We start from the raw sequence: 20,014 nt of genomic DNA on the forward strand, positions 1-20,014 counted from the left end.
ATATATATATGTATAAGTAGGTAGACAATGAGCAAAATAAAGTGATGAATCTTTCATTGGATAAATTCCAAATACATCAAATTCTTTTTTTTTTTTTTGAGACGGAGTCTCGCTCTGTCGCCCAGGCTGGAGTGCAGTGGCTCGATCTCGGCTCACTGCAACCTCCAACTCCCGGGTTCGCGCCATTCTCCTGCCTCAGTGCCCCCGAGTAGCTGGGACTACAGGCGCCCGCCACCACGCCTGGCCAATTTTTTGTATTTTTTAGTAGAGATGGGGTTTCACCGTGTTAGCCAGGATGGTCTCGATCTCGTGACCTCGTGATCCGCTCGCCTCGGCCTCCCAACAAATACATGAAATTCTTTAATGTAAAAACAAAACTATAGAAGTGCTGGAAGAACTGTAGAAAGCATGTAAAGTATTGCTGGACGAATCCCTAACTCTGACACAAAACCCAGAAGTTATCAAAGGTTAATAAACTCGACCGCCTGAAAATAAAAACTATCTTCACACCAAAAACCAATAAAAGCAGAAGGCGAACACTGAACTGGAAAAAATATCTGCAATTTATACTATAGGCAAAGAGCTAATTTCTTTACTTTGTCAAGATTTCCTACAGATCACTAAGATGACAACCAGTAAATCAACAGGAAAATAGGCAATGATATGGACAATTCTCACAGGAAATAAAAATGGCTACTAAATATGTGAAAAAAAATGCTCAGCCTCATACAATCAATAAAATGCAGATTACAACTGTACAGAAATGCCATTTTTTTACCTATCAGGCAAAGCAAAATAAAATTGATGGCACACAGAGTTGGTCAAGAAGTGGGATGATGGGTATCCTCATTATGCTGTTAGTGAGGGTGTACACTGGTTTCATAATTATGGAGGGCAATTTAGCAATATATGTCAAAATTCTATATGTATGTATATCTTATATACATATAAAATATCCATTGACCAGGCAATTCCTCTTCTAGGAATTAATCCTACAGATACAATCACTTATCCTACAGTTATATATGAAAAATGACATACATACAAGGGTTTTTTTCTTTTTTTTAGACAGAGTCTCTCGTTGTCGTCCAGGCTGGAGTGCAGTGGGGTGATCTCAGCTCACTGCAACCTCCGCCTCCCGGGTTCAAGCGATTCTCCAGCCTCAGCCTCCCAAGTAGCTAGGGTTACAGGCACACGCCACCATGCCCAGCTTATTCTGTATTTTTAGTAGAGACAGGGTTTCACCACGTTGGCAAGGCTGGTCTTGAACTCCTGACCTCAGGTGATCCACCCGTCTCGGTCTCCCAAAGTGCTGGGATTACAGGTGTGAGCCACTGTGCCCGGCCCTGTGCAAAGTTTCTCATCATAGACTTGTTTGAAACAGCAAAAGACAGGAAACAAGCATCGATCCACAGGACACTGGTTACATAAATTGATACATCCATTTAATGGAACGCCATGTAGCCATCATAAAGAATGAGGATGCTTTTTTTTTTTTTGAGACAGAGTTTCGCTCTTTCGCCCAGGCTGGAGTGAAGTGGCGTGTTCTTGGCTCACTAAAACTTCCGCGTACCGCCCCCCCCGGCCCCCACACCGGCAACCCCGCACCAGGGTTCAAGCGATTCTCCTGTCTCAGCCTCCTGAGTAGCTGGGAGTATAGGCGCAGGCCCCACCACGCCCAGCTAATTTTTCTATTTTCAGTAGAGACAGGGTTTCGCCCTTTTGGCCAGGCTGGTCTTCAACTTCCAACCTCAGGTGATCCACCTGCCTCAGCCTCCCAAAGTGCTAGGATTACAGGTGCGAGCCACCGCGCCCGGCCTGAGGACGCTCTTTATGTACTGAAATGGAATGACCTTTAAATTATTACTGTTAAGTGGAAAAGGCATGGTGCTGAACAATATGCGCAGAATGTTACTGATGTAAAAACACGGTGTGTGTGCAGGAGTGGAAGGCTGTATTTACACACGCCTGGAGTATGCTCTGGAAATATACTCAACAGTGCTAGTTTATGGGAACAGAAAATCATGTGGTCAGGGGACAGGAGAGGCAGATGACGCTGGACACTCTTGCACTTTTAAAATCTACATGAACAGATTCCCTCCTCACAAATAAATCGATATAATAATAAAACCGTAATCATCACAACCAGTACTGCTTGGGATATGGAGAAATTAATATCCCCATAGTCTGCCAGAGGGGATGTTAACTAGTTCTTTCCTGGAGAACAATTCAGCATCAAATACCAAAGACCTTAAAAAATACATTCCTTCTGCCCCAGCAATTACCCTTCTAGGAATTTATCCTAAGCAAGCAATCAGATATATACACATATTTACATAGAAAGATGCTCATTGCAGTATTATGATCCCGAACAATTTGCCAACATTAGGAGATGTGAAATCAAGTACGGTTTTTTCTCTGTCATGGAACACTAAGCCAGCCGTAAAGAACCATGTTCCAGTGGAAAATTTAATAACATGAGAAAATGGGCACAATCAATTGTCGAAGGAAAAAAGCAGGTCACAAAAGAGAAAGTGCAGCATTATCCCAATTTTGTAAAAGAAAAACGTATTTTCGGAGGAAAAAGTCTGGCTGGATGGACGTAAGCAAAAATGTTAACAGTGCCTATCACTGGTTATGAGGTTTTTTTTTACTCTTTATGCTCCTCTGTACTTTCCGAAGTAAACATATATTACTTTTACAATCAGACAAAAACAACAAATATTTTTAAAAAGAAAGAAAATAGCAGCTTTCTAGAAAATTGCAGAGTACCATAATCACCAACATACTGGCTTCATGAAATAGGAAGGCTCATCTCCCTCCACATTCAGAGCAAACCTTAATTTTTTCTCTGGCTTCAGTTTTTATTTTCCCTGTTTTCCTTGAAGAACTTCCCATGTGATCACATTTATGATGCACATACATAAAGTTGAAGAGATTAGCTCTGAAAAAAGAACTATTAAGCCATTTATCACTGGATCATTACACCTAATGGACTTTAATCCCTCAGCAACCACTAAAGCTTACATTATTTAGCTAAATACTTTATTACAACACTACAAAGCAGGGATTTTATCAGCTGTAGAAGCTGCTGTTGTAGGTGTGATCGTTTTTGGAAAATTAATCCCAAACTTCAAGCACGTTCAAGCATAAACCTGTTAAAGATTCAGAGTAGGATGTACACCCTTCAAATGAAAAACAAATTTTGTTTTTAACAGAGACAGGGCCTCGCTGTGTTGCCTAGGCCTGTCTTGAACTCCTGGGCTCAGGCAATCCTCCCGCCTCGGTCTCCCAAAGTGTTGGAATTACACGAGTGAGCCACTGTGCCCAGCCTACCCTTCAAATTTAAACTTATTCTTTTAATATCCAAGGTCACAGAACTGGTGCAAGAGATTGTCATACTCCTGCTTTAAGCCCATATAAGTATCTTAAAAGCTACGGAAGGAAGTTGCTCAGGGGATCTTGTTCCAGTTCTTACTATGAAAGCAGGACAATAAGAGTCATTTATACATTATTATTATTGTTATTATTATTATTATTTTTTTTTTTGAGACAGAGTCTTGCTCTGTCGCCCAGGCTGGAGTGCAGTGGTGCGATCTCGGCTCACTGCAACCTCTGCCTCCCGGGTTCAAGCAATTCTCCTGCCTCAGCCTCCTGAGTAGCTGAGATTACAGGCGCCCGCCACCACGCCCAGCTAATTTTTTTGTATTTTTAGTAGAGACGGGGTTTCACCATGTTGGTCAGGCTGGTCTCAAACCCCTGACCTTGTGATCCACCCGCCTCGGCCTCCCAAAGTGCTGGGATTATAGGCGTGAGCCACCGCGCCCGGCCTATTATTATTGTTTTGAGACAGTCTCGCTCTGTCGCCCAGGCTGGAGTGCAGTGGCGCGATCTCGGCTCACTGCAAGCTCCGCCTCCCGGGTTCACGCCATTCTCCTGCCTCAGCCTCCTGAGTAGGTGGGACTACAGGCGCCCGCCACCGTGCCCGGCTAATTTTTTGTATTTTTAGTAGAGATGGGGTTTCACCATGTTAGCCAGGACGGTCTCAATCTCCTGATCCACCCACCTCGGCCTCCCAAAATGCTGGGATTACAGGTGTGAGCCACTGTGTCCGGCCCATTTATACGTTATTTTACAGATGGGGTCTTGCTATGTTGCCCAGGCTGGTCTTGAACTCCTGGGCTTAAACAATCCTCCTGCCTCAGCCTCCCAAAGGGCTGGGATTACAAGTGTGAGCCACTGTGCCCAGCCAAGAATAATAGATTACTAATTCTATCAAGCTAACAGTCTCATCAGACATTCAGACAAAAATGGCATGTAGTTCAACAAGGGCTGACAGACATGGGCAAGGCAGGCGAGGGGCCCATAAGCTTACTGCTACAGGGTATCGGAAGGAATATGGAAATAGAAGTTTCTTGAAGAAATTCAGAACACATAAATTACTTTTTTTTTTTTGAGTCAGGGTCTCACTCTGTCACCCAGGGTAGTGCAGAGACCAGCCTGGCCAACATGGCGAAAACCCATCTCTACTAAAAATACAAAAATTAGCTGGGCGTGGTGCCGCATACCTGTAATCCCAGCTACTCAGGAGACTAAGGTGGGAGGATCGCTTGAACCCGGGAGGCAAATGTTGCAGTGATCACAGCTCACTGAAGCCTGGAACTCCCGGGCTCAGTGACCCTCCTGCCTCAGCCTCCTGACTGGCTGGGACTGATATGGGAGGGGGGCAGGGAACTGCTGTGTAGAGAAAGGCGGGTCCCTGGGTAGGGCTTCACCCTTGGGCCTGTGTCCACTGACCCAGGTGAGGACAAGCACTCCCGCCTTCGCGCCCAAATGTTGCATTTTCCAAGACCACCCTGGTTTGCCACGCCCCCCAGCCTGGGCCTATAAAAACCCAAGACCCTAGCAGGCAGACACATAAGCAGCTGGATGTTGTCAGGAGTATGCCGGCGGAAGAGCAGCCGACAGGCATCGGCATGCCATCGACCAGTGCAGAAGGACACGGACTTTGGCCAGAGCAGCTGGTAAAGAGGTGGGCCTCTGAGTGGCCTGACTCCAGGGGAAAACCATCTCCCTTCTGGCTCCCAACCTGCTGAGAGCTACTTCTACTCAATAAAACCTTGCACTCATTCTTAAAGCCCACGTGTGATCCGATTCTTCCAGCACACCAAGGCAAGAACCCGGGATACAGGAAGCCCTCTGTCCTTGCGACAAGGTGGAGAGTTTAACTGAGCTGGTTAACACAAGCCGCGTATAGACAGCAAACTAAAAGAGCACCCTGTAACACACGCCCACTGGGGCTTCAACTGTAAACATTCATCCCTAGACACTGCCCTGGGGTCGGAGCCCCGCAGCCTGCCCATCTATATGCTCCCCTAGAGGTTTGAGTAGCAGGGCACGGAGGAAGCGAGCCACACCTCCATCGCACGCCCTGCGAGGGGAACAAGGGAACTTTTTCCGTTTCAGGACCACAGATGCATGCCACCACTAGTCAGGCTAATTTAAAAAAAATTTGTGTGTGTGGAGAAGGGGTCTCCCTATATTGTCCAGGCTGGTCTTGAACCCCTGGCCTCAAGTGATCCTCCCGACTCAGCCTCCCAAAGGGCTGGGATTACGGGTGTGAACCACTGTGCTGGGCCTAAAAACTACCTTTTGTTTCAGACTATAACCACAGCAGAATTCCGCCAGGTTTCTTTTTCAAATCCATTCAATAAATTATAGACAAAGATAACACTGGCTATACAATTTAGCAATATGGGTCCATCTCCTGAAGAAACACGCATTGTTACATTGCTGGGCTGGGCAGGGCATGGTGGCTCATGCCTGTAATCCCAGCACTTTGGGAGGCTGAGGCGGGCGCAACACCTGAGGTCAGTAGTTTGAGACCAGCCTGGCCAACATGGCGAAAACCCATCTCTACTAAAAATACAAAAATTAGCTGGGCGTGGTGCCACATGCCTGTAATCCCAGCTACTCAGGAGACTAAGGTGGGAGGATCGCTTGAACCCAGGAGGCGAATGTTGCAGTGAGCTGAGATTATACCACTGTACTCCAGCCTGGGTAACACAGCAAGATTCTGTCTCAGAGAAAAATAAATAATAAATTGCTTGAGCTGGGAGTGTTTTACCTTAGAGTACAGCACTGCAGCTCCTGTGTAATCTTTCTCCTGAAATTTTTTGTTTCCTTCTTCTCTGTAGAAAAGAGGAGCGTCCGAGTCCTTTCCCACCAAGTAACCTTTAGAAAGTCTTTTTAGAAACAGCTCATCCTCAGGTCTGCATGAAGAAAGGAGGAAACAAAGTAAGCAGAAATGTGTTATTTCAAGGAAAGCTCTAAACCATTGCCCTCAAAACAAGAAAGTGGGCCCGCAAAACATTTCACACACATGAGGATATGTACATTGTGCAATGTGATTAGAGGAAAGAAATCTCATAGTCTCAGAGACACAGGGACCAGAATTTTTTGAGACAGGGTCTCACTCTGTCACCCAGGCTGGAGTGCCGTGGTGCCATCTCCACTCACTGCAGCCTTGACTTCCCAGGCTCAGATGATTCTCCCACCTCAGCCTCCTGAGTAGCTGGCACTAATTGGGAGGATGTGTGCCACCAGGCCTGGCTAATGTTTGTACTTTTAGTAGAGGTGGGGTTTTGCCATGTTGCCCAGGCTGGTCTTGAACTCCTGGGCTCAAATGATCAGCAGAATTTCTTTTTTTTTTTTTTTTTTTTTTTGAGATGGAGTCTCACTGTCACCCAGGCTGGAGTGCAGAATCATGATCTCGGCTCGCTGCAACCTCCGCCTCCCTGGTTCAAGTGATTCTCCTGCCTCAGCCTCCTGAATAGGTGGGATTACAGGCGCCCATCACCAGGCCCAGCTAATTTTTGTATTTTTAGTAGAGAAAGCATTTCACCATGTTAGCCAGGCTGGTCTCGAACTCCTGACCTCAAATGGTCCACCTGCCTCACCCTCCCAAAGTGCTGGGAATACAGGCGTGAGCCACCGCACCTGGCCAGAATTTCTATTTAGAGGACTGAAGGCTAATTTTTTATTCTTTATCTCATAATTATTGGCCAACGAACCATCCCTCGGATCATACATCATAAAAGATTTTTTTTTTTTGAGACAGAGTTTCGCTCTGTCACCCAGGCTGGAGTGCAGTGGTGCAATCTCAGCTCACTGCAAACTCTGTCTCCTGGGTTCAAGTGATTCTCCTGCCTCACCCTCCCGAGTAGCGGGGATTACAGGCATGCACCACCACGTTCAGCCAATTTTTGTATTTTCAGTACAGGCAGGGTTTCACCATTTTGGCCAGGTTTGTCTTGAACTCCTGACCTCAAGTGATCCGCCTGCCTGGGCCTCCCAAAGTGTTGGGATTACAGGCATGTGCTACTGGGCCCAGCCAGGATCTTGAGTCTGGAAAATGAGACTAATATATGGTGTCTTTTGAATCAAGGAGTATTCTCCACTTCAACTGCTGAAAATACTTGAGTGGCTGACAGAAGAGAGATAATGAGAATGAATCATAAAGTAAATGTAGTAAAACGTTAACACTTGCGAAATTTGGAAGAATTCACCAATTCTTTGTACTTTTTTTTTTGGAGACAGAGTCTCACTTTGTTGCCCAGGCTGTAGTGCAGCACTGGCACGATCTCGGCTCACTGCAACCTCCGCCTCCTGGGTGCAAGTGATTCTTGTGCCTCAGCCTCAGGAGTAGCTAGGAGTGTGAGCCACCACGCCCAGCTAATTTTTTGTATATTTAGTAGAGATGGGGTCTCATCATGTTGCCGAGGCCGGTCTTGAACTTCTGAGCTCAGGCAATCTGCCCACTTTGGCCTCCCAAAGTGCTAGATCACAGGTGTGAGCCACTGTGCCTGGCCTCTTTATACTATTTTTGCAAGTAAGTCTGAAATTATTTCAAACTAAGAAGTTTAAGAAATAAATATACAAATGCTCTACAAAATTAATAAAGCTGAACTAATACATAAATATAGAGACATATACACATACTAACAAAAAATATACCTATTTTCCAATAAAAAGAAATAATATAGAATAACCTAGACTATTCTCTTTGACTATAATGCCATAAAGTAAAATATGAATAACAAAAGTAGAAACACAAATGACATGGAAACTAAAAATTATCTTAAGTAACTCTTGAATCAAAGAAGAAATCACAGAGCTGCAGAATGGCCAGGTGCGGTGGCTCACGCCTGTAATTCCAGCACTTTGGGAGGCCAAAGAGGGAAGATTGCCTGAGCTCAGGAGGCTAGCCTGGGCAACATGGGAAGACCCTGTCTCTACAAAAAATACAAAAATTAGCTGGGTGCGGTGGCATATGCCTGTAGTCCCAGCTACTCGGGAGGCTGAGGTGGGAGGACTGCCTGAGCCCAGGAAGTCAAGGCTGCAGTGAGCCAGGAGGGCCCCACTGCATTCAAGCCTGGGTGACAGGGCAAGGCCCTGTCTCAAAAAAACAAAAAACAACAACAAAAAGCCCTGGAGAATGTTTACAAGTAAGTTAAAAATTTTTGTTTACAAAGACCCACAATAAGGAACACCTTTCACATTGTGACTCAGTATAATGCTTTTGTGTTTGAATCTATTAACATTTTATAAAACATTATCTTTGCTATGAGGTAAAAACAAAGTTAGTATCAAATATGATTTTATTAATATTTAAATACAACACAGACAAGTCACAAATAGGGCTGGGTGCAGTGGCTTATACCTGTAATCCCAGCACTCTGGGAGGCCGAGGTGGGCAGGTCACCTGGTCCACGAGTTTGCGACCAGCCTGGGCAACATAGTGGAACCCACCTCCACAAAAAATACAAAAATTAGCCGGGCGTGGTGGCAAGCACTTGTAGTCTCAGCTATTGGGAGGCCGAGGCACGAGAATCGCTTGAGCCTGGGAGGTGAAGGTTGCAGTGAGCTGAGATCGCACCATCACACTCCAACCTGGGTCAAATAATACAAAAAAGAAAAACTAGGAAAGATTTTATTTAATTTAAGAGGTGTGCTTGCCTGTTCTACATTTACTCCAGTCCAGAAAATATGAAGGCAATACCCTATGCCTGTCTGGTACACCGCAGAGCTTGTTCTTTTTTCTGTTTTTGTTTTAAATTAGGTTAAACCTAAAAACCCTAGTTCAAACAAAAGGTTTGTGGTAAACAGTAATAATAGCAAAATTCTTCTTGCCTAACAATAGATTATGAACTCAATGTCTTTTTTTTTTTCTTTTTTTGAGATGGAGTCTCACTCTGTCACCCAGGCTGGAGTGCAGTGGTGCGATCTCGGCTCACTGCAACATCTGCCTTCCGGGTTCAAGTGATTCTCCTGCCTCAGCCTCCTGAGCAGCTGGGATTACAGGTGCCCGCCACCACACCCAGCTAATTTTTGTATTTTTAGTAGAGACGGGGTTTCACCATGTTGATCAGGCAGGTCTCCAACTCCTAACCTCATGATCCACCCGCCTTGGCCTCCCAAAGTGCTGGGATTACAGGTGTTGAGTCACTGTGCCCAGAATACTTTTTTGATTTTTTAGTAGAGATGATGTCTCAATACCTTGCCCAGGCTGTTCTCAAACTCCTGAGCTCAAGTGATTTTCCTGCCTTGGCCTCCCAAAGTGTTAGGATTACAGGTGTGAGTCACTGCATCCAGCCGATTCTTTTTTTTTTTTTTTTAATGTCTTCTGGAATATTATGATAAAAAAATTGAGGCTGAGGTGGGAGGATCGCTTGAGCCCAGAAGGTCAGGGCTACAGTGAGCTACGATCACACCACTGCACTCCAGCCCAGTCAGCACAGCAAGACCCTGCCTTAAAAAAAAAAAAAAAATTGAGGTAGTAAGATGGAAAAAGCAATCTAATGTTTTTTTTTTTGAGACGAAGTCTCGCTCTGTCACCGAGGCTGGAGTGCAATGGTGTGATCTCGGCTCACTGCAATCTCCGCCTCCCGGGTTCAAGCGATTCTCCTGCCTCAGCCTCCCGAGTAGCTGGGATTACAGGCACCTGCCACCATGACCAGCTAATTTTTGTCTTTTTAGGAGAGACGGGGTTTCACCATGTTGGCCACACTGGTCTTGAACTCCTGACCTCAGGTGATCCGCCCGCCTTGGCCTCCCAAAGTGCTGGAATGACAGGTGTGAGCCACCATGCCCGGCCTATTTAAACCATTTTTTAAGCATACAGTTCACTGGCATTACATACATTCATATTATCCAACCATCAGCACTATTCATTTCCAAAGTTTTTTCATCATCCCATGCTGAAACTCTACCCATTAAACCATAACTCCTCATTCCTCCCTCTCCACATCCCCTGGCAAACTCCATTCTGCTTTCTGCCTCTGTGAATTTACTTATTCCAGGTATTTCATGTAAATGTAATCATACATTACTTTTCCTTTTGTGTCTAACTTATTTCACTTAGCAAAAAGTTTTCAAGGTACATCATGTTGTAGTATAAACCAGAATTTTGCTTATTTAAAAAAATTTTTTTTTGGCCAGGCGCGGTGGCTCACGCCTGTAATCCCAGCACTTTGGGAGGCCGAGGCGGGTGGATCACGAGGTCAGGAGATTGAGACCGTCCTGGCTAACAAGGTGAAACCCCCGTCTCTACCAAAAATACAAAAAAGTAGCCAGGTGTGGTGGTGCGTGTGTGTAATCCCAGCTACTCGGGGGACTGAGGCAAGAGAATCACTTGAACCCAGGAGGCGGAGGTTGCAGTGAGCCGAGAGCACACCACGGCACTCCACCCTGGGCGACAAAGCGAGACTCTGTCTCAAAAAAAAAAAAAATTTTTTTTTAAGAGATGGAGTCTCCCTTTGTCGCCCAGGCTGGAGGGCAGTAGCTATTCTGCACTCTAACCTGGGCAACAGGCACAGTCTAGCTACAGGCACAATGATCGCACACTATGGCCTTTTTGTAGGTGTGTGAAGTGATCTCTCACTGTGGTTTTGGTGTGTGTTTCTCTGATTATGAATGATGTTGAACATCTTTTCGTGTGTCTACTGGCTATTTGTGTATCTTCTTTGGAGAAATGAGTCAAGTCCTTTGCCTATTTTTAATCTGATTTTTTTGTTATTGAGTTGTAGGAGTTCTTTATATATTTCGGATATTAATTTCTTATCTGATACATGATTTGCAAATAGTTTCTCCCATTCTGTGGGTTATCCTTTCACTCTCTTGATACTGTCCTTGGTGCACAAAACCTTTTTTTTTTTTTTTTAAGACAGTCTCACTCTGTCGCCCAGGCAGAAGTTCAGTTTCTCGGCCACTGCAACCTCCGCCTCCCGGGTTCAAGTGATTCTCCTGCCTCAGCCTCCCGAGTAGCCGGGATTACAGGCACGCACCACCACGCCTGGCTAATTTTTGTATTTTTAGTAGAGACAGGGTTTCACCATGTTGGCCAGGCTGGTCTCAAACTCCAGGCCTCAACTGATTTGCCTACCTCAGCCTCCCAAAGTGCTGGGATTACAGGCGTGAGCCACCGCGCCTGGCCTAAAACTGTTTTTTTTTGAGACAAGGTCTTGCTCTGTCGCCCAGGCTGGAGTGTAGTTGGCTTGGTCATGGCTCACTCCAGCCTTGACTGACCTCCCAGGCTCAAGTAATCCTCCCACCTCAGCTTCCTGAGTAGCTGGGGCTCCAGGCATGCGCCACCATGCCTGGCTATATTATTTGTAGAGACGGGGTCTCACTTGTTGCCCAGGCTGGTCTCGAACTCCTGGGCTCAAGTGATCCTTCCGCCTTGGCCTCTCAAAAGAGTGGTGGGATTACAGCTGTGAGCCACCATGCCCAGCCTAAAAGTTTTAATTTTGATAAAGTACAGTTTATTTTTTTTGTTGTTGCCTGTGCTTTTGGTGTCATATGCAAGAAATAACTGCTAAATCCAATGTCAAGATTTTCCCCTATGTTTTCTTTTAAGAAGTTTACAATTGGCCGGGCACAGTGGATCACGCCCCAGAACTTTGGGAGGCCGAGGTGGGCGGATCACGAGGTCAGGAGATTGAGACCATCCTGGCTAACATGGTGAAACCCCGTCTCTACTAAAAATACAAAAAATTAGCCAGGCGTGGTGGCGGGTGCCTGTAGTCCCAGCTACTCGGGAGGCTGAGGCAGGAGAATGGCGTGAACCCGGGAGGCGGAGCTTGCAGTGAGCCGAGATCGTGCCACTGCACTCCAGCCTGGGCGATGGAGCAAGACTCTGTCTCAAAAAAAAAAAAAAAAAAAGTTGTTTACAATCTTAGCTCTTAACTTTAGGTCTCTGATCCATTTTGAATTAATTTTTGTATATGAAGGCACAACTTCAGCCTTTTGCATGTAGCTTGTCATTAGGATACAGACAGAAAAAAAACACATTTTTTCTTTCTCCAGCCTTGCCATCTCTCTCTAGAACTCTGGGGATGTAAAGCCTTTCATGGAGCTAACTGGCGAAGGAGAAAGTCCCAGCTCTGGCTCCAAAGTAGAGTGCAGATTACTGAGATTGGACATAATCGCTTAATACCTGGGACATATCCACATATGCATCATTTTTTCTCTAAGCCATTTGAAAGTAAGTACAGGCATCATGGATGTTCACCTCTAAATATTCGCAGGCCTCTGCTTTAAAAATAAGGACATTCTCCTATATTACTATAATATCATTATCACTAAAAAATTAACAGTAATTCAAATATTATTTAAATGTAAATGTTACCAATTATTCCTAATATGTCTGTTGTATCTTTTTCTCACCCTAACCAATCCAAGATCAACGTTCTCATGTATTGAATTTAGTTATTTCTCTTTAGCCTCTTTTTAGATAGTGGTATAATTTTTAAATTTATTTTTAATTTTTTTTTCGAGACAGGTCTCACTTCCATTGCTCAGGCTGGAGTGCAGTGGTACGACCTCTGCTCACTGCAACCTCTACCTCCTGCCTCAGCCTCCCGAGTAGCTGGGACTATAGGCACGTACTATCATGCGTGGCTAAATTACTTTTTATTTTTATAAAATAGAGATGGGGTCTCGCTATGTTGCCCAGGCTGGCCTCAAACTCCTGGGCTCAAGGGACCCACCTGCTTCAGCCTCCCAAAGTGCTGGGATTATAGGTGTGAGCCACTGCACCTGGCCAATTACAATTTTTTTAATGAGTAATTTTTTTTAAAGATTCAACACCAGAAAAACGTTTCACATTCTGGTTTCGCTTCATTGTTTCCTCATGGTTAGATTCACATTAAACAATTTTTATTAAGAATACGGCTGGGTGTGGTGGCTCACACCTGTAATCCCAGCACTTAGGGAGGCCGAGGCAGGCGAATCACCTGAGGTCAGGAGTTCGAGACCACCCTGGGCAACATGGTGAAACCCCGTCTCTACTAAAAATACAAAAATTAGCCAGGCACAGTGGTGCATGCCTGTAATCCCAGCTACCCAGGAGGCCGAGGCAGGAGAATCGCTTGAATACGGGAGGCAGAGGTTGCAGTGAGCAGAGATTGTGCCACTGCACTCCAGCCTGGGAGACAGAGAGAGACTACGTCTCAGAACAAACAAACAAACAAAATGACTACATAGTTAAATCTATATACTTCTTGTTGCCTCAAATCAGGAGACATATAATGTCTCCCCAGTATTATGGAAGCTAAGTTTGGTCACTTACTTAATGTGGCAATTGCTGAATCTCTGCAATGTAAAGACACCTTTCCCTTGTACTTAAATACTCTATAGGGCCATACTTTGAGATCATGTGAAGAGCCTGTTTCCCAGTGATGTTACTTCTAAAGGTTTGCGCATCTACTGATAATTGCCAGAATCATTCCATCACACTAGGGGTTACAAAATGGCGATTTTTCTAATTCTACCATTATTTCTAAATTTATTAGCTGGCAATCTTTGGTAAAGACAAACTTTCTCCTTTTCCTTCTTTTACTTGTTTCATGTGAGCAATATTTACACAGACATAATATGTATTTACTTATTTTTGTTTGTTTTGAGACAGAGTCTCACTCTGTTTCCCAGGCTGGAGTGCAGTGGCACGATCCTGGTTCACTGCAACCTTCGCCTCTGGGGTTCAAGCAATTCTTCTGCCTCAGCCTCCCAAGTACCTGGGATTACAGGCACCTGACACCACGCCCAGCTAATTTTTGCATTTTTAGTAGAGATGGGGTTTTGCCATGTTGGCCAGGCTGGTCTCAAACTCCTGAGCTCAGGTGATCCACCTGCCTTGGCTTCCCAAAGGGCTGGGATTACAGGCATGAGCCACCATGCCCGGCCAAAAGTCAATTAAGAAAGTAAACTCGGATATTTAGAGTACCACCATGGACTTAAACAATTTATTATCATAAACTATTATCACCATTATACTTTTTCATGGTCAAATTATGCTAATATTGGCCAGTGACAACCTCTTCAGACTGGTTCCTATGTTCTTTTTTGTTGTTTTTGATCCAGGGTCTTGCTCTGTTGCCCAGGCTGGAGGACAGTGGTACCATCATAGCTCACGACAGCCTCGACATCCTGGGCTCAAGCAATTTTCCCACCTCAGCCTCCCAAATAGCTATGGCTACAGGCATGTGACACCATGCCCAGCTAACTTTTTATGTTTTTGTGGAGACACAGTCTCACTATGTTGCCCAGGCTGGTCTCAAACTCCTGGGCTCCAGCGATCCTCTTGCCTAAGCCTCCCAAAGTGTTGGGATTACAGGTGTGAATGGGGTCACCATACCTGGCCTACGCTCTTTTTTATATAAATCTATTAGTCTTCGAGCACGTCCTTGTTTTCTGACACAGGTTATTCCAGTTGAATCAGCACAAAATAAAAACAAACAATAAGCCTGTGAATGTGGATAGTGAAGCTATTAAGAATTTCCTACAACACTCTGGGAGATTATTAATTGCAGGAGTGGAGAGGTAGGGGTGGACAGTGGGAGGTCGTGTGTCTCAAAAGGTTTTCAATAGATGAAAGGCATCTCTTGTGGGAAAACATTCCTCAAAGAATGTCTATTGGCAAGAAAGAAAAGTGTGTGCTTGGCTTTAAACTTTAAAGGGCCAGTTCCTATTTTTACCTAACAGGCATGCATGTGGAGATCAGAAGTTTAAATCTTTTTTGGTTACTTTAGATTGTGATGGAACAGAATTACAAATAGCTCTTTGAGCTAACTTGTTTTTAAGGAGAGAGGTCTGGGTATGAATTAGTGAGAGACATACAGAGCAAACAAAAATGGAGGTGATTTATTAACCCCAGGGGAAACGAGAGCAGTACAAGAAAGGAAATGTAATTCAAAGCATCCTTCACGGTTCATGTGAACAAGACTCACACAGACATAAGAATGTATGCATTGAATGTTGGTTCAATCAATTTAATACTCTATTGGTTATATAACAGTTATCATGAGGGAATGAGGGAAAAACAAAGTATAGGCCGGGCAAGGGGGTTCACGCCTGTCATCCCAGCACTTTGGGAGGCCGAGGAGGGTGGATCACATGAGGTTAGGAGTTTGAGACCAGCCTGACCAATATGGAGAAGTCCCGTCTCTACTAAAAATACAAAATTAGCTGGGCGCGGTGGTGCATGCCTGTAATCCCAGCTACTCGGGAGGTGGAGGCAGGAGAATCGCTTCAACCCAGGAGGCGGAGGCTGCTGTGAGCCAAGACGGCACTATTGCACTCCAGGCTGGGTGACAAGAGCGAAACTCTGTCTCAAAAAAACAAAAACAAAAAACAAAGTATATACCTGTGAGTTGGGAAGAAGAGAGCAAAATTACATCTAAAATTATACAAACTCAAGAAAGAGCAGTATTTGCAATGTTTAGAAATAATAAATTACGTGTCAGAAGGCTGGGCACAGTGGCTCACACCTGTAATCCCAGCACTTTGGGAGACCAAGGTGGGCAGATCACCTGAGGTTGGGAGTTTGAGACCAGCCTGGCCAACATGGTGAAACCCCATCTCTACTAAATATACAAAAATTAGCTGGGTGTGATGGCACACACCTGTAATCCTAGCTACTTGGGTGGCTGAGGCATGAGAATCGCTTGAACCTGGGAGGCAGAGGTTGCAGTGAGCCCAGATCGTGCCATTGCACTCCAGCCTGGGTGGCAGAGTGAGATTCTGTCTCAAAAAAAAAAAAGGTCTGGTGTGATGGCTCATGCCTGTAACCCCAGCACTTTGGGAGGCTGAGGCGGGTGGATCCCTTGAGGTCAGGAGTTTGAGACTAGCCTGGCCAACATGGTGAAACCCTGTCTCTACTAAAAATATAAAAATTATATATTTTAGGCATATATAGTAGTGCATGCCTGTAATCCCAGCTACTCGGGAGACTGAGGCAAGATAATCACTTGAACCTGGGAGGCAGAGGTTGCAGTGAACAGAGATCGCGCCACTGCACTCCAGCCTGGGTAACAGAGTGAGACTCTGACTCAACCTGTTAAAAAAAAAATTAAATGCCAGAAGAAACAGTTAATTTAAAGTAGCTGTCTCTGGGGAATAAGAATCAGGAATGGGGAAGAGTGGACAGGGAGTTGCTGTTTTTCCTGATAAGTTTTGAAGCACTATTTGATTTCTTAAAGTATGTATGCATATTATTCTGATAAAAAATTAAACTAAGGAAGGAAAATATTTTCACTAAGGCATCTGGTCTACATAGTTTTACAGAATTTTTCTACTAGCCTTTAAGAAGCACATAATTCCTACATTATATAAGCTATTTCAGAGCACAGAAAAAGGCGGGAAGCTCTCCAATTCATTCTGAGGCTACCATAACCCACCATGGTATCAGCTGGGATTACAGGTGCCCGCCACCATGGCCAGTTAATTTTTTGTATTTTTAGTAGAGACAGGGTTTCATTCACCACGTTGCCCAGGCTGGTCTTGAACTCCTGACCTCAGGTGATCCACCCGCCTTGGGCTCCCAACATGCTGGGATTACAGGTGTGAGCCACTGCACCCGGTCAGATGATTTAAAAACTCTTACCTTTTATTTACACCACCAATCACCAATTAGAGAATGTAATTGGGGGGAAAAGCCTTATTCACAATAACAACAAAAACCTTACAAGAAGAATAAATCGAACATGAAATGTGTAAGACCTATATAAAGAAAACTATAAAACTTTACTTAAGGACATAGAAGAAGCCTTAAAGAAATGGACATACCCTTTATTTGGATTAGGAAATTTAATATTGTAAAGATGTCAGGTCTCCTTAAGTGAATCTATAAATCCAACACATTCCCAATCAAAAGCCCAACAACATTTTTTATAGAACTTGAGAAGCTGGCCGGGCACGGTGGCTCACGCCTGTAATCCCAGCACTTTGGGAGGCTGAGGCGGGTGGATCATGAGGTCAGGAGATCAAGACCATCCTGGCTAACGTGGTGAAACTCCATCTCTACTAAAAATACAAAAAAAAAAAAAAAGATAATAAAATAAAATTAGCTGGGCGTGGTGGCAGGCGCCTGTAGTCCCAGCTACTCGAGAGGCTGAGGCAGGAGAATGGCATGAACCCAGGAGGCAGAGCTTGCAGTGAGCCGAGATCACGCCACTGCACTCTAGCTTGGGTGACAGAGCGAGACTCCGTCTCAAAAAAAAAAAAAAAAAAAAAAAAAGAACTTGACAAGCCAATTCTAAAGTTCACATGGGGGAAATGCACACAAAATACCCAAGATATTCTGGAATACGAACAATGACTATGTGTGTGCGAGCAGGAAGCTGGCCTCTGGGCCACTTCCTGGGAGCCGCCTGGGTACTGAGACTCCCCTGCTTTCAAGTACCCTTTCTCTCTACTTCCGGTAAATCTCAGTGGGGAATCCATTTTTTGAGGCTGAAGAAGGGTAGACCCCATTTCACAGCAGGGTTGGGCACATGACACAGGCCTGGCCAATCAGAGGAGTCTCATACCTCTGGTTGAAGGGATGTGCATGTGATCAAAATTCAGTTGACCTGAGCCCCACCCAGAAGTTTTCTGCTGAAACTTCAGAAAGACAGCCTCTTCCCCTGGGGTGTTATTACACTATCAGGGTGTGCCCAGGGCTGTGAATGGTTATAGCACCCACTAGATGGAGAGAATCTGTCTGACACATGAAGAAATACACATTCTGATGACATCCTTTGAGCCCCTGAATACAACCTAGCCTGAAAATAGATCTCCCTTCAGATAGCCTAGTTTCATAGCTAAAAGTTTCATACTTTGAAGGGGGTTTCTGTTACTTGAAACTGAAGAGTTCTAGAGTTTCTAAAATGACACTATAGGCCAGGTGGGGTGGCTCACGCCTGTAATTCCAGGACTTTGGGAGGCCAAGGTGGATGGGTCACCTGAGGTCAGGAGTTTGAGACCAGCCTGGCCAACATGGTAAAACCCCGTCTCTACTAAAAATACAAACATTAGCCGGGCATGATGGCGTGTGCCTGTAACCCTAGCTACTTGGGAGGCTGAGACAGGAGAATCGCTTGAACCCACGAGGCACAAGTTGCAGTGAGCTGAGATTGCGCCACTGCACTCCAGCCTGGGCGACAGAGGGAGGCTCAGTCTCAAAAGAAAAATAATACTAATAAAATACACTATAAAGTCACAGTAATTAAAACCCTTTTGTTCCGGCACAGATCTAGAGCCTAGAAACAAATTTGTGGATAAGTAGTGATATGGCGTGGCTGTGTCCCCACCCAAATCTCATCTTGAACTGTTATTTCCCAGAAGCCTGTGTTGTCGGAGGGACCTGATGGGAGGTAACAGAATCGTGGGAGTGGTTTCCCCATGCTGTTCTCGTGATAGTGAGTGAGTTCTCACGAAATCTGATTATTTTATTTATATTTATATTTTTATTTTTTGAGATGGAGTCTTGCTCTGTTGCCCAGGCTGGAGAGCAGTGGCACAATCTCAGCGCACTGCACCCTCCGTCTCCCAGGTTCAAGCAATTCTCCTGTCTCAGCCTCCTGAGTAGGTGCGGTTACAGGCACATGCCGCAATGCCTGGCTAATTTTTTTTTTGCATTTTTAGTAGAGATGGGGTTTCACCATGTTGGCTGGGCTGGTCCTGAACTCCTGACTTCAAGTGATCCTCCTGCCCCAGTCTCCCAAAGCGCTGCGATTACAGGCGTGAGCCACCGCGCCCGGTGAAATCTGATGATTTTATAAGGGGCTTTCCCCCTTTGCTCAGCACTTCTCCTTCCTGCCACCCTGTGAGGGCTGTGCCTTTTTTTCCTTCGTCTTCCACCATGATGGTAAGTTTCCTGAGGCCTTCCCAGCCATGTGTGAGTCAATTAAACCTCTTTTCTTTATAAATTACCCAGTCTTGGGTATTTCTTGATAGCAACGTGAGAATGGAGTAACATGAGTAGGAATTTAATTTTAATAACTGAGGCATTTGCAAGCACTGGGGAAAGGATGCGTCATGCATTAAATGCTACAGAAAAATTGTCCACCTGGAAAAAAAGTGAGAATATTCCTTCACATAGTACACAAAATCAATTGGAGATGTATACATACATCATAACATAATGTTGTACCCCTTAAACGTATATTTTGTCAGTTATACCTCAATAAAGATGGAGGAAAAAGTGCAGAAGGATTAGAGAGCTAAAGGTAAAAAAATGTTAGCAGAAAACAATGAACATTTTTATCAACTCCCAAGTAGTTGGAATTACAGGCACATGTCATGTTGTCTGGCTTCATTTTTATACAGCCATATCTGTCATTTTCTTTCTTTTTTTTTTTTTTTTTTGAGAAATAGTCTTGTTCTGTCACCCAGGCTGGAGTGCAGTGGCACAATCATGGCTCGCTGCAGCCTTGACCTCCCAGGTTCAAGTGATCCTCCCACCTCAGCCTCCTGAGTAGCTGGGACGACAGGCACATGCCACCATGCTTGGCTAATTTTTAAAATTTGTTTATAGAGATGGAATCTCACTATGTTGCCCAGGCTCCTGGGCTCAAGCAATCCTCTCACCTTTGGCTCCCAAAGTGCTAGGTTTACAGGTATGAGCCACCGCACCCAACCTCATCTTCTTTTATACCTTCTGGGTTGTGTCTTGCTTAGGATGGTTCACTCCACC

At 44.8% G+C, this 20,014-nt stretch overlaps 1 protein-coding gene across 6 annotated transcripts in view, besides 1 other annotated feature; it reads right to left on the reverse strand.

The window, feature by feature from the left end:
• The window catches only part of SMYD4 (SET and MYND domain containing 4), a 50,418-nt gene that overhangs the window by 26,359 nt on the left and 4,045 nt on the right, over positions 1-20,014 (reverse strand). For 5 of the 6 annotated variants that reach the window (NM_052928.3, XM_024450560.2, XM_047435290.1 and 2 more), the window contains exon 3: positions 6,128-6,272. In NM_052928.3, coding sequence (NP_443160.2) covers positions 6,128-6,272 — 145 coding nt within the window. Of the gene's footprint in view, positions 1-6,127; positions 6,273-8,722; positions 8,741-20,014 lie in introns of those variants that run through there. The other variant, XM_047435291.1, reaches the window with a different exon arrangement.
• Positions 18,102-18,241: an enhancer, noted in NCBI's record as "active region_11458". NCBI's record gives its function as "activates an Ori minimal core promoter by ATAC-STARR-seq in GM12878 lymphoblastoid cells {active_cell/tissue: GM12878}" and the evidence as "EXISTENCE:reporter gene assay evidence [ECO:0000049][PMID:35858748]".

This window comes from Homo sapiens, chromosome 17 (assembly GCF_000001405.40).
Source record: "Homo sapiens chromosome 17, GRCh38.p14 Primary Assembly".
NCBI classification, from domain to species: Eukaryota; Metazoa; Chordata; class Mammalia; order Primates; family Hominidae; genus Homo; species Homo sapiens.